Genomic DNA, 14,568 nt, shown 5'->3' with positions numbered 1-14,568 from the left:
TCCCAGACAAAAACAGATAAAATTTGCTTTATTGATTTGATCAGACTTACCGAATATCTCTTATACCTGAGCTGTGTGTAATTCCTCAAAACCTGGTAGATAGGTAAAGGCGATTGTCCAGAGGAAGTAACCAAGGTCAGGCAGAATTAGGAGACACTCAGAGCAGATGGGCATCCTTCTGAGTGTCCTCCACATGCTTATTCCAGGGGCCAGCTGCCTTCCTCATGTGGTGGTCCCAGGGCTCCAGACTAGGGCGGAGGAGTGGAGGCCTGAGGATACACATCATGCTGTATAGTCTTGCAGAGGCGGATGAGGGGTCTCCTTTTTCTAGAACCAACTGTAGTCACTGCTGGGGTCCTCTTTATGGTGTACTGTAGTCCATGACATGGGGATGATAAATAACCCTGGTGGATGGATTTAATGGAGGCAGGAAACACTCTTTCTAGGGAGGAAGAAAATGGTTTGGTTTTAACACTCTGTTCTTCTCTTAACCCTGGTGGTTTGTAATTTATCACTTCTGCCCAGCCTGTTTCCCTGGCTCTGGGAGTCTGCTAGATGTCACTGTTTTCTTCAGATCCTGACACTGACTACTAGAGATCAATACTTGCCAAAAATGTGGACGACATTTAGGGGGAAAAAAAAGCCTTTTGTTTTTTTTTTTTTTTAGATGGAGTCTCGCTCTGTTGCCCACGCTGGAGTGCAATGGCACGATCTCAGCTCACTGCAACCTCTGCCTCCCGGGTTCAAGCAATTCTCTGCCTCAGTCTCTCAAGTAGCTGGGATTACAGGTGCCCACCACTATGGCTGGCTAACTTTTTTGTAGTTTTAGTAGAGATGGGGTTTCACCATATTGGCCAGGCTGGCCTTAAAGTCCTGACCTCGTGATCCACCCACCTCGGCCTCCCAAAGTGCTGGGATTACAGGCGTGAGCCACCGCACCCTGCCAAAAAAAACTTAAACCTTTTTTGTTTTTTTTAAAACAACTTAAAAAAAACTTAAACCATTAAAGTTTAAAGAAAAAAGCATTTTGACAAATGAAACTTGGGAGGAATGGTAATATAGTTCTTATTTTTAAAACTTTTCGAGTTAAAGGTTTAAAAGTCAAAAATTTAGCAAGTTTGGGAGCATAGACTTTCCTCTTACTTCCCACACCCTGAGCCTTTTGAGCCATCTCTTGTTTTTAGTCTCTACATGAAATTAAGAAGGTGCTAATGCTAGTGACCTCTCTGGGCCAATGCCTGGTTTGGAGGAAGGAAAGCATCTTTTGTTCTAGAGCAAGAGTGTCCAACTTTTCATGGTGATCCACATGATCAGAAATCCAATTGTTTATGGTAACAGCGAAGTCCAGAAGGTCCTCCCTCTACTGGTGAATACTGAACATGACTCATGCATGAGTCAGGTACATATGGACGCTTTCATTCCATTTTCCTCTTGTCAGCATCCTTCAGAATGCTCTAGTTTCATGGTGTCATTTTAGCAGAATTAAATGTGAACACCTCATCTGTATCATGCATTACTTTCGGCTTTACTCACACTTACAAACTGATCCAAAGCTGTGGATTTGCATCTTGGAGCAGGGGTCAGTGCACAATGGCATCAATGACCGCAAGAATTAACGAGGCTTTAATGACCTGCCCGAGTTGGCTAATCCTGCAAGCCGCCACTTGTTAAAATTTCGACATGCACTTAATCCGTAGGTCAGGATGGCCAAAAAGGACCAGCCCTTCCCCCTCAAGCAGCAGGCCAGAAGCAGGAGGCTTGGGTTTTAGATCAAATGTTAGCGAGAGGAAGCCACAATGTGGGGTCCCCCAGATCACCTCCTTTTCTTTCTGATCAGACTGACCAAAAATCACAGATTGCCTTGACCGTTCTGTGACCCAGCCAGCTGCAGGTTTTCCCCAGCAGGCTTGAACGCAAACCAGGGCCTTGAACACTCCCAGGCACTAATAAAGGTATCTAGGTTGTTGCCCAAAACGTTGAAAGAAACTGGCTCCAGCCCTGAGTCAAATTCCCTAAACCCTCATATAAACTCCATACCCTGACCCCCTTGCTACAGACATGCTTAGGCAGAACATCCCTTTTCCCTCCCTGTCGGCAGGGAGGATTGCTGCAGTCCTCTGTAAGTTCCCCTAATAAATGCTTTGAATTGATCACCCTGACATCTGGGCTTCTTTCTTTGGAATCCCAATTGGCCCCATCTCTGGAGGGTTTGGGCCACTCCCTGTGGGAATTTCCCTGCTGCTGCTTTTGGGATGATTCCAGCTGGGAGTTTGGTGAGATGAAACATGCAGGGCTGGCATGGAATTCTTTTGTCTCCTCTTGTAGAAACAACAGGGACCCTCAGAGACAGAAAAATACCCAGAGCTCCTCTTTGAGAGCTGGTACAAACTGTCTCTTTGGTGCAGGGTAGTGGTGGCTCATAAAAACCCACTCAATTTTGGTTTTAAAAAAATCTTCTTCAGAACTTCAGAGTAGGTAGTAATTAACACAAGAATATGTAATTTCTGATATGAGTGGACCACCCAGAATGTTTCTAATTCATCCACTCCTCTGGTCCCCAGTTCCTTGTCTTCTTAGGAAAATTTCCTCTTTTACATCCATCTGTACCTAACGGTTCATGCTTTGCCCTGACTCCCGCTGTGTCTTACCATGTTTGTGTTCTTATGTTTCTCACTCTCAGCCTCTCTTCCCTTTCTCTCCTTCCTGTCTCTCACAGCTTCCTCTGTCCCCAATGCTTTCTGCATCTTTTGTGCCAGGTGCTCTTTTCCTTTCTCTCCACCTCTGTCTTTCCAGGAGTCTTTGCAGAGCTCTCTCTATGTAGGCTTCCTCACGCCTGACGATTTCTTGGGCCTCTGTACCTCAGCTCTCCATGCCCACCGCTTATCCTCAGTTGGCCTCGTTCCCCTGATGCCCTGAATATTCCCAGACCAAATACTCACCACAATGAAGCCCAATCCAACAAAGAGCACAACAGTGACTGTGGTTGCAGCCAGGGATATGAGGATAATTCCCATGGGTGTCAGGAGCCTGGTGGGTTTCACTGCTGTGACTGAAGTAGTTCACAGAAGGTGAGTGTCACCATGTTTAGTGGTTTCATCTTCTGTGGTCCCTGGGTCTGCAGTGACGGAGTCCTCGGTGGTCCCTGGGTCTGCAGTGATGGAGTGTTTGGTGGTCCCTGGGTCTGCAGTGACAGAGTCCTCAGTGGTCCCTGGGTCTACAGTGATGGAGTGTTTGGTGGTCCCTGGGTCTGCAGTGACGGAGTCCTCTGTGGTCCTTGGGTCTGCAGTGATGGAGTCCTTGGTGGTCCCTGGGTCTGCAGTGACAAAGTTCTCAGTGAGTGGTCCCTGGGTCTGCAGTGACAGAATCCTTGGTGGTCCCTGGGTCTGCAGACACATAGTCCTTGGTGGTCGCTGGGTCTGCAGTGACAGAGCCCTCGGTGGTCCCTGGGTCCACAGTCACATTGTCCTCAGTGGTCCCTGGGTCTGCAGTGACAGAGTCCTCGGTGGTCCCTGGGTCTGCAGTGATGTGGTCCTCAGTGGTCCTTCCATCTGCAGTTACATCATTTTCTCTTATTCTTGAGTCTTTAGGGCTGGTCTCTGGGTGCTTAGTGGAAATGCTTTGGCTTAGTCCTACTAAAAAGTAATCTCATTTAATGTGAATTGTTGATGGCCTATCCTCATCTGCTCTGCTCAGTATTTTCATAACTATCCTCACATCCAAATGACACCTCTCCCCAGGTAATGTGGTGAGATTTATTCCAGTTAGGGATCATTTGGCATTTTTGGTTTAATTCTGGTAAAACATATTCCACAAGAATCCTCTTGCACTACAATATGGATTATCTTTGCTGAGCCACGCCCTTCGAAGGCCTGCTCACCCAGCTTTGACTCTGTCTTTTCCAGGTCTGGTCTCTTTCCGTGGGACACTAAACCTGACTCTTTCTCAAGCTCACTCCTCTCTGAACTGGTGTTTCAGCAATTGGGGTATTCTGGCTCCATGTTCATAGGTGTCTCCTCTCATCCATTTGTGCCTGCGGTTCTGGCAAACCAATGAGGCAGAAGCTGTGATTCATGTTAGAGATTACACTCAGGTCATGCTTGGTATATGATTTAAAATGAGACAGCTGGCCAGGTGCTCCATCTCAAAAAAGGAAAAAAAAAGCATGAGACAGCTTCTGGGTCAGATCTGGGGCTAACGTGGTAGGCTTGGAGGCAGGGAAGATTCAAGGTGGTATGGGGGCAGGCTTAGGGGAGGAGTCATGAGGGGTGTGGGTGTGATCTAGTTGGACTGAGGGCAACACTGAGTCAGGTATAAGTACAAAGAAGAGATGAGTCCTCTTCGTCTCCAGCCCTCACTGCCCCAGGCAGCCGTCAGGACTTGGGAGTATTCTTATTCTTAGGAATACATGTAGCTTACATGGCATAAATTTTGAACTTTTGGTACTCTGCCCAAATCTAGTCATCCCTCCCTACTGCTGACGCTCCACATTTTTCTAATAGGGTTCAAGTCTTCCTTCCTTCCTTCCTTCCTTCCTTTCCCTCTCTCTCTCTCTTTTTTTTTTTTTTCTTTGAGACGGAGTCTCCCTCTGTCATCCAGGCTGGAATGCAATAGCGCGATCTCCACTCACTGCAACCTCCACCTCCCAGGTTCAAGCGATTCTCCTGCCTCAGCTTCTCAAGTATTTGGGATTACAGGCGTGCGCCACCAGACCCAGCTAATTTTTGTATTTTTACTAGAGACTGGGTTTCACCATGCTGGCCAGGCTGGTCTCAAACACCTGACCTCAGATGACCCACCCGCCTCAGCCTCCCAAAGTGCTAAGATTACAGGCATGAGCCACTGCACCTGACCGTTTCTTTCTTTTCTTTCTCTTTTTCTTTCTCTCTTTTGACACAGGGTCTTGTTCTGTGATTCAGGCTAGAGTTCAGTAGCACAATCATGGCTCAATGCAGCCTTGGCCTCCTGGCCTCAAGTGATCCTCCCACCTCAGCCTCCCGAGTAGATTAGACTACAGGCATGGGCTACCACGCCTGGCTGATTTTTTTGGTTTTTGTAGAGATGGTGTCTCACTATGTCGCCCAGGCTTGTCTCAAACTCCTGGGCTCAAGGGATCCCACTCCTTCTCATCCTCCCAAAGCGCTGGGATTAGAGGAGTGCCAAATTTTTCATTTCTCCAGGAAAGTTGAAACAAAGAAACTTAAATAAAATGCACAAAATCAAAAGCAGAGCATTTCCTTAAAAGGGGATATGAGAAAGACGCTGGGGTCCCTGCTTCCCTGTGGCAGGTGATTGAGGGTAGATAACAGGGTCCGGAGTTCCCAAGGTTCACTCACCTATTCCGTACCTTCGCTCGGGACTGGCCCTGTCTGAGTCCCAAGAGGCTCCTTCTCCAGGGACCCTGACTCCATCTCTCCAGGTCCCGGGGACTTTTGCATCCTTCTCACCAAAATTAACTCCTCCACCCCGTTCTGAACACCTCAGGAGAAGCAGGAGCAGCAGAAGGGGGACGTAGCGGGGCATTTTCTTCTCATCTCAAGAGAATCCACATGGTGCTAGCCAGGACACCTTTTCCTCCCTCCTTCTCTCAAACTTTTTCCACCCTGCCCTTCTCCTTCCACCCGCAGTGGCTGTGGGTTTATATGTGCTTTGCCGAGGGAAGCCAGAGCTCCGGGTCTTCCTTCCTGGAGGGAGGAGCAGCTTCTCAATTACCCCCTGTCACTCAAAGGAGTGGCCGGGCAGGGCAGAAGAGGCTGTCATGAGGGGAAGGGGGGCTCTCAGCTTTGGACCAGAGCCCAGAGTCGAGCAGCCACAGGGGATCAAGCCTGTCAGCGTGAGTGCACTGCTTTCTGATGTGGAGCCTAGTTGAAAACCATCCTCCACCCGGTGTTTCAGTGCTCAGGGAGGGCCTCGGCCTTCCTTCCCACAGGTGGCCACAGTAAAGTCAGGATGACCAAGGAGGGCATAGGCCAGGCCTGCCTGGGGGATGATGCTTGGCAGGAGGAGAGCTGGGTGTCAGAGGGTAGAGGACATTTGGTAAGGACCAAGAGAAGGTCCTCCAACAGAAGGAGAGGAACACTCATGAGGGGGCTAAAACACCCAATCTCTCTGTCTCTTAAAACCTCACTCTTTGCTCAATCATCCACCCAAATCCTCTTCCTTGGCTTCTCTCCAGCCCACGGATCTCTCTCCTTGCTCCCCCTGCTCGAGTGCCCTCACCCCAGTGAGCTTTCTCAATTACTGCATGTATTAGTCTGTTTTCACGCTGCTGATAAAGACATACCCAAGACTGGGAAGAAAAAGAAGTTTAATTGGACTTACAGTTCCACATGGCTGGGGAGGCCTCAGAATCACGGAGGGAGACAAAAGGCACTTCTTACACAGTGGCGGCAAGAGAAAATGAGAAAGAAGCAAAAGCGGAAACCCCTGATAAACCCATCAAATCTCATGAGACTTATTCACAGTCATGAGAATAGCAAGAGAAAGATGATTGGCGAAAAGAGAAAAACTCCCCACAGCATGAGGGGAATTGTGGGAGCTACAATTCAAGTTGAGATTTCTGTGGGGACAGAGCCAAGCCATATCACTGCACAAAATTAGTCCACTTGTGGTGAGGTCAGGCCTGAATGAGAATACCCACATCTTTTCCTCCTTCTCTGACCCTTATCCCTGCCTTGCCCACTCTTTAGAAGATCATTGTTGGTTCCCATCTTCATTCAGAGATGTCTCTCACCATTTGTGGGGCCTCTCTCTTTCCCAGTGTCCTTCTAACTAAAAGAGGAGTGTGAAATTGCAGGTGGGCCGGGAATTGTTCCTCTCTTAGAAGGCAGCTGATTTCCTGAAAATCAATTTAATGAATGGCTAGTTTACCACATGTAACTGACTATGTTAACTACTAGTATTATTTGAATGTATTAAATATTTTCTCTTTTCCTTCCTTCCTTCCTTCCTTTCTTTCTTTCTTTCTTTCTTTCTTTCTTTCTTTCTTTCTTTCTTTCCTTCTTTCTCTTTCTCTTTCTCTCTCTTTCTTTCTTTTTGACAGGGTCTTGCTGTATTGCCCAGGTTGGAGTGCAGTGGTGCTATCACGGCTCACTGCAGCCTCGATCTCCCAGGCTCAAGTGATCCTTCCACCTCAGCCTCCGGAGTAGCTGGGACTATATGCATGCACCACCATGCCCAGCTGATTGTTTTTTTATTTTTAGTAGAGACAAGGTCTCACTATGTTGCCCAGGCTGGTCTCGAACTCCTGAGCTCAAGAGATCCTCCCTCATCAGCCTCCCAAAGTGCTGGGATTACAGGTGTGAGCCACATCACCCAGCAACATTTTCAAACATAGTATTTAAACACACTCAAAAGAATTTGTATGTATTTAGTATAACTAATGAATAGATTTCAAAAGAGTATAGTAAGGAAAATATCTGATTTTCTAAGTCAAGAGGTATAATTTGCATATGATAAAATTCACCCTTTTTCATGTACAGGTCAATAGAATTTTTTTGGTTTGGCTTTGTTTTAGAATTTTTAAAACTTCATTTTGAGATAATTTTAGACTTACAGAGAATTACAAAAATAATTAACAGAGTTCCCGTATATTTTTCCCCTAGCTTTTCCTCATGTCAATATCTTACATAGTACAATTATAGAAACTGAGAGATTATATATACAATTATAGAAGCTAAGAAGTTATTGTTGGTACAATACTATATATATTTTTTTGAGACAGAGTTTCACTCTTGCTGCCCAGGCTGGAGTGCAATGGCACGATCTCAGCCCACAGCAACCTTCCCCTCCCAGGTTCAAGTAATTCTCCTGCCTCAGCCTCCCGAGCACCCGGGATTACAGGTGTGTAATCCTAATGGTGATAGATTAGATTCCTTCTACATTTATTAATTGAAATTCTTCTGTAAGAAAAAGTCGTGCCCTCTCCCCATTTTATTTATTCAACTATTTGTTTATATCAGAATGGACTCATAAATGTTTATTTTGTTCTGTGAGTTATGATCCAATACTATCACTATTTATTTTGTTGCTCAAACTTTGGCCACTGGGAGCTCTTTCAGATGGGCTCCAGTGCCGTTTTAATGTCCTCCATCCTTTTTTTGTTTTGTTTTATTTATGAGACAAGACTTCACTGCGTTTCCTAGGCTGAATTGCAGTGGCATCATCATACAGCCTCAAACTCCTGGGCTCAAGGGATCCTCCTGCCTCAGCCTCCTACAAGTAGCTAGGACTACAGGCATGCACCAGCACACCCAGCTGATATCTCCATTGCTATTTTGTTTTGTTTTTTGAGACAGGGTCTCACTTTGTTGCCCATGCTAGAGTGCAGTGGTGCAATATTGGCTCACTGTAATCTCCGTATCCTGAGCTCAACTAATCCTCCCACCACAGCCTTCCAAGTAGCTGGGACAACAGGTGTGCGCCACCACACCCAGCTAACTTTTTTTTTTTTTGTAGAGACAAAGTTTTGTCATATTGCTCAGGCTGGTCTTAAACTCCTGGGCTCAAGCAATCCACTTGTCTTGGCCTCCCAAAGTGCTGGGATTACAGGCTCAAGCCACTGTGCCCAGCCTCTCCATCCGTGGTATTTTGTTTTTTTGTTTTTTTTGTGTGAGATGGAATTTCGTTCTCGTTGCCTAGACTGGAGCGCAATGGTGCAATCTCGGCTCACTGCAACCTCTGCTTCCTGGGTTCAAGTGATTCTCCTGCCTCAGCCTCCCAAGTAGCTGGGATTACAGGCATGCACCACCATGCCCAACTAATTCTGTATTATTTTAGTAGGGAGAGTTTTCTCCAAGTTGGTCAGGCTGGTCTCCAACTCACGAACCTCAGGTGATCCCCAGGCCTGGGCCTCCCAAAGTGCTGGGATTACAGGCATGAGACACTGTGCATGGCCCTCTCCATCCCTTTTTAAAACACTTTCTTGCATTCTGGTATTACAAGATGCTTCATGCTCATTTTTTATTTTGTCCATCCAGGCCCTGGAATCAACTATTTCTCCACAGAGCTCTGGCTCCTCTTTGTATTAGAGAATAATATTTAGAAACCAAGATTTGGGTACTAGGTGTGCTCATTCATAGTGGGTGTCACTGCTTCTTGCCCCCACGGAAGTTAGAGCTAGGAAACGTATGTATGTAAACTAACTCATGCATAAACACAGGTCTGTATTTATTTCTGCAATTACCTGTCTGCATATACAGATTGAATCCCTTATCTGAAATGTTTGAGACCGTAAGTGTTTTGGATTTTCAATTTCTTGGATTTCGAAATATTTGTATATACACAATGAGATATCTTGTGGATGAGACCCAAGTCTAAACATGAAATTTGTTTATGTTTTATATATATCTTATACATGTAGCCTGAAGGTAACTTTACGTGATATTTTAAATAATTTTGTGCATGAAACAAAGTTTGTGTATGTTGACTTGTGGTGTCATGTTGGTGCTCAGCAAGTTTTGGATTTTGGAGCATTTTGGATTTTCAGATGAGGGTTGCTCAACCTGTGTTTTAAACACAAGCATGGGTGCATTTTGACACCTCCAGCTTTAATCCAGCAACATGGGGTTCATTCTAGTCTCTCCCTTTTCTTTATTTGTAACTCCTTTCTCTGACATGGCTACGAATGTCTATAAACATATTTTTTTACTTATTTTTTCAACCCTAATAAACAAATAGTGGTTTCAGAACTGCTAATTCATACCCTTGCCAGAAACACATTTACCAACTACAGTACAGTGTTTCTGTATTTTTTTTTTTTTTTGTCTTTAGCTTTATGGTCAAAACACAGTTTTTCTTTTCTTTTTCTTTTTTAAATTTGAGACAGGGTCTTGCTCTGTCACCCAGTCTGGGGTGCAGTAGCACTGCAGCCTTGATCTCCTGGACTCAAGCGATCCCTCCATCCTAGCCTCCTGAGCAGCTAGGACTACAGGCACACCATCATGCCCAGCTAATTTTTTTAACTTTTTGTAGAGGCGGGGTTCTCGCTGTGTTGCTGAGGCTGATCTCAAGCTCCTGGACTCAAACAAGCCTCCTGCCTTGGCCTCCCAAAGTGGTAGGATTACAGGCATGAGCCACCATGCCTGACTCAAAACAGTTTTTCAAAGTTACTTAGGCCAGCTCCTTCTTCTCCATCCGTTTCACTGTGCTTACATGAGTCATTTGTCAGAGTCTGCTTTCCATCTTTCCCTCCACATCCTGGTTGATTTGCTGAATTTCCATACCCTAAAAATCACTTTTTGTAGTGTACAGTTCTATGGATTTTGATAAATGGTAGAGTCACATATTCGGCGCACTGAATCCCTTCATCCTCCTCAATCTCCCCCCATGCCGTTCCTTTAGAGCCAACCCTTCTCCCACTTCCCAAACCCTGGCAACATGGATCTTGTTTCTTTCCCTATAATTTTGCCATTTTCAGAATGTCATATGAAGGGAATCGTATAGTCTGTAGCCTTATAGTTTTAGATATAATTTATATACTATTCATAGGAATCATATTTGCAATTATTCATCAGAGTCAAGAATAAATAATTTTTTCTTGCACATATTTTTGAATAAAGTCTTTCATGTGAAAATTGTTATAAATAAATATATTTATCTTGAGTATTTTCTTAACTAGAAAACATGCTATAAATCAAGAAGACATTCCCCAGTCTCCCTCTGTCTCCCAGCCTCCAGCCTGCAGCAGGAGGGAATCACACTGAATAGGATTTAAACAAAATTTAAAAATTCAAAGAATTAGTCATTTGATGAATTAGTTTTAAGAAAATTGCCTAGAGCTCGTTAGATGAAGACCTCCCTAAAACAGGACTTTTAACAAAAGTCACCATAAATTCTGGAGTTGGGGATTTTTAAAAAAGTGCTAGGCAGAAATCTCTTGAAATTCACATTTCTTCTCGTTTTCGTTTTTTTTTTTTTTTTTTTTTTTGAGACAGGGTCTCACTCTGTTACCCAGGCTGGAGTGAGTGGCGCAATCACAGCTCAGTGAAGGCTTGACCCCCTGGGCTCAAGTTATCCTCCCACCTCAGCTGGGACTACAGGTGTGCACCACCACACCTGGCTAATCTTTTTAACTTTTTGTAGAGACAGGACCTCACTCTGTTGCCCAGGCTGGTCTCAAACTCCTGGGCTCAAACAGTTTTCCCACTTTGGCCTCCCAAAGTGTTAGGATTACAGGCATGAGCTACTGTGCCCAGCCTCCACTTCTTTTCTTCTTTCCCATTTCCATGTTTTGTGGTCTTAGATTTGTCTATTTGCTTCTTTCTTTGCAGGGGCATTACAACACCATTTTTGCTGGTTTCCAGCCTCTATTTTCTACTCACTCAGCTGATTGAAGTGTTCTTATTGGGGAAAAAATTGTGTCCCACTACACCTTAAAGTGATCTGTGGGCTTTGTGCTGTTAAAGGATGAAATCTGGCCTCCTTGGAGTGGTGTTCAAAGCCACGCATTAGCCCCCAGCCCCAGCTCCCTCTGCTGTGCTCTCCAGCCCCACAGGTCTTCTGACCTTCACTGGCCGTGCCATGCCCAGTCTTGCACAAGCTGCTTGCTTGCCTGGCATTTCCTCTTCTGCTCCTCGTAAATGCCTGCTAACTCCTCAAAATCCAAATGTCACCTTCTATGTGAGTCAGCCTCTCCTCCCCTCATCAAGTTAGATGTTTCCTCCTGTGGTGCTTCCATTCATACTACTTGATGCGTTGGCCTGTAACTTATGTACCTCCCTCACCCAACTGTGACCTACAGGGTCATCCTAGCTGCCCCAGCTCCTTGAGACCTCATGCCAAGCAGGTGTCCAGTAAATATGGTGAATGAATGAATGAAAAAATGAGTGCAAAAGATGATAATTATTTTACGAAAAGGTCTGGGGGCTCTTAAAACTGAAGAGGAGATAATGGATACACTGATAAATATCTTCAAGGTATTATTTTAAAACCCTAATATAAAAATAAAAATTAAAAAATCCCAAAATAAAAAACCCGAATATACATTTTTTCTTCCTATTGAGGTAAAATTTACAAAAAGTGAAATGCACAGATCTTAAGAATTCAGTTAGTGGAGGTTTCTTGTTTTGTTTTGTTTTTTTGAGACAGGGTCTCACTCTGTTGCCCGGGTTGGAGTGCAGTGGCACCATCACGGCTCACTGCAGCCTTGACCTCCTGGGCTCAAGCAATCATCCCACCTCAGCCTCCCAAGTAGCTAGAACTACAGGTGTGCATTACTATACCCGACTAATATTTGTATGTTTTGTAGAGATGAGGTCTTGCCATGTTGCCCAGGCTGGTCTCAAACTCTTGGGCTGAAGCAATCCTTTCACCTCAGCCTCCCAAAGTGCTGGAATTACAAGCGTCAGCCACCACACCCAGCTGTTAGCTGAGTTTTGACAAGTGTATTTACCTGTGTAACCAACAGACCAGTTGATATAGAAAACATTCCTATCACCCAGAAAGTGCCCCCTTCCTAAAAACCCTCACCCTCATAGGAGATCTGATCTCTGCCACCATAGATTAGTTTTGCCTATTGTTGAATTTCATGCAAATAAATTGTACAGTAGATACTCTCTTGCATCTGTTAAAAATAGATTTTGTTGTTGTTGTTATGTTTTTTGTTTGTTTTGTTTTGGAGACAGAGTCTTTCTCTGTTGCCCACAGTGGAGTGCAGTAGCGCAATCTCTGCTCACTGCAACCTCCGCCTCCCAGGTTCAAGCAATCCTCCCACCTCAGCTTCCCGAGTAGCTGAAACTACAGGCATGTGCCACCACACCCGGCTAATTTTTGTATTTTTAGTAGAGACGGGGTTTTGCCATGTTGGCAGGGCTGGTTTTGAACTCCTGACCTCAGGCGATCCGCCCGCCTCAGCCTCCCAAAATGCTAAGATTACAGGCATCATGAGCCACCGCACCCAGCCTAAAAACAGTTTTGTTCATCATATTGTAAAATGTTCTTAGAGAAACAGCTTGGTCCTGTTAAGGCTCTCCCAAAGACCCAGGAGAATCCCAGAAGCTGAAGAGACTTAGCAGAGGGTGAAACTGATAAAGCAGAGGCGAGTGATTCACAGGGAGGAAGAATCAGTGGGGTGCGTGTGCGAGTGCGAGAGCAAGTTGCACCAGAAGCCTGGGTGGGACCAGGCCTGAGCATGGTGCTGACACTGGCATGTGTGCCCTCTGAGGCCTGGTTTTGGGGGAGCTGCTGAGGATCTAGACCGTAGCAGGGCAAGCCAGTCCTGCCCTTGCAAAAACTGGGAGCACATTCTCCCTGCCCAGGACAGTTGCTGGGCTGGGAGCCCACAGGAGAGAAAGGTGGCAACTCACACCTGCAGCCCAGAGCAGACGTGAGTGGCCAGGAAAAGTGGCCATGTCTAAGGGTGGCCCCAGTAGCAAGCTCTTTCCTACCTCACAACATGAAAACAGGATCACTTTCCTCCAGTTCATGTTCTAGGCTCACGCAGAGGCTGTTTTCCTGCCATGCAACACACGTCTGTAAAGACCAGCACCTGCCTTCCCCCATCTCTCCTGACTCCGTTCTTCCATCGACCCAGAGGCCTCGGGGAGCAGGGAAGGAGTGGGGAAGAAAATGGGACAGATGTGAGGTCTCTGGATTTCATGCTAGGATTTGAGAACTGGGAGGTCACAGCGAAAGAGTGTCCTCATGATATAGGAAACCTCTCTTCACAGCAATATACAAGCACACACCCACAGTCTGGCTGTCACATAGAGCAGATGCACTTATTTAATCATTCAGCACTAGCGATAGCCTCCTGTTTCAGGTCTGGGAGAACTAAACAGAAGGTAGGAGTGTCAGGGGCTGGAGCAGAGCTGGGAGGAGCAGCCCTGGGGGCAAGTGAGGAAAACCGAGACCGCTGGTCCTCCCCACCCTGAGGACAGTGAAGTGCCTGCCTTTAGGGACACTGTGTCTCCTCATCAGCTCCATGCCTGTGGGAGAACACTGGTCTCTAAAATCCGTTTCAGTCTCACTTGACCCATCTTGGACTCCATGATATCCTTGAGGACATGGACCAAGGTTTGGGATGTGAAGATCTTTGGTGAAGAGGTTTCTTAGGCACAGAGAGTTTCTCTAGAAAACAAAAGGATGGATGGTTCAGAGTTATGCCCCTCTTCCAGTGCTCTCCCATCCCACGTGTCCCCACTCCCCATTCGGCCTCCCCAGCCTCAGTACTCCTTTGGCCCCTTCTCTCCTCATCAATTTCCTCTGAACATGTACCAGCTTTTCTAGCCCTCTCTCTTGCTGGTTCTCACCTGCTGTCTCTGTCTTGCTTTGTCCCTCTCCTGATTTCTCATTCCCTATTAGCCACACAATGACCCTACTCTCTCTACCCTGCTTCCCTCCTCAGTTCCCTGCACTCCCTCCCTCAGAAAAAGGATTTCCCACACATCAGGCACTCATGAAATAAAAGAGCCCTGTGAAGAGAATCACAGCCATTGCAACCAAGGCCAGAGTGACTAGGATGACTTCCCACAGCCTCAGGCATCCATTAGACCTTCCCTCATTCCCTGGAGGGGCTGCACTTGTGCTGGTGACACTGGAGGTTGCGGTTGTTGTGTTAGTTCCACTGGAAGA

At 46.0% G+C, this 14,568-nt stretch overlaps 1 pseudogene across 2 annotated transcripts, besides 1 other annotated feature; it reads right to left on the bottom strand.

Moving 5' to 3' along the window:
• On the bottom strand, positions 1 to 6,401 carry HCG22 (HLA complex group 22; annotated as a pseudogene). 2 transcript variants are annotated; one of them, NR_003948.3, is made up of 4 exons: positions 6,319 to 6,401; positions 5,334 to 5,750; positions 2,940 to 4,140; positions 1 to 442 (listed from the first exon to the last, which is right to left on the bottom strand). The product of NR_003948.3 is annotated as an HLA complex group 22, transcript variant 1 (long non-coding RNA). The 2 variants fall into 2 exon arrangements; NR_145427.2 differs by having other exon boundaries at positions 2,940 to 3,632.
• Positions 5,809 to 6,309: an enhancer, noted in NCBI's record as "H3K4me1 hESC enhancer chr6:31021318-31021818 (GRCh37/hg19 assembly coordinates)". NCBI's record gives its function as "activates a minimal SCP1, AML or CMV promoter by ChIP-STARR-seq in primed H9 embryonic stem cells {active_cell/tissue: H9 hESC(primed)}" and the evidence as "EXISTENCE:reporter gene assay evidence [ECO:0000049][PMID:30033119]".

Source organism: Homo sapiens, chromosome 6 (genome assembly GCF_000001405.40).
Source record: "Homo sapiens chromosome 6, GRCh38.p14 Primary Assembly".
NCBI lineage: Eukaryota > Metazoa > Chordata > Mammalia > Primates > Hominidae > Homo > Homo sapiens.
The sequence above is the reverse complement of the archived record's forward strand: the minus strand, read 5'-3'. Positions and strand labels throughout refer to the sequence as shown.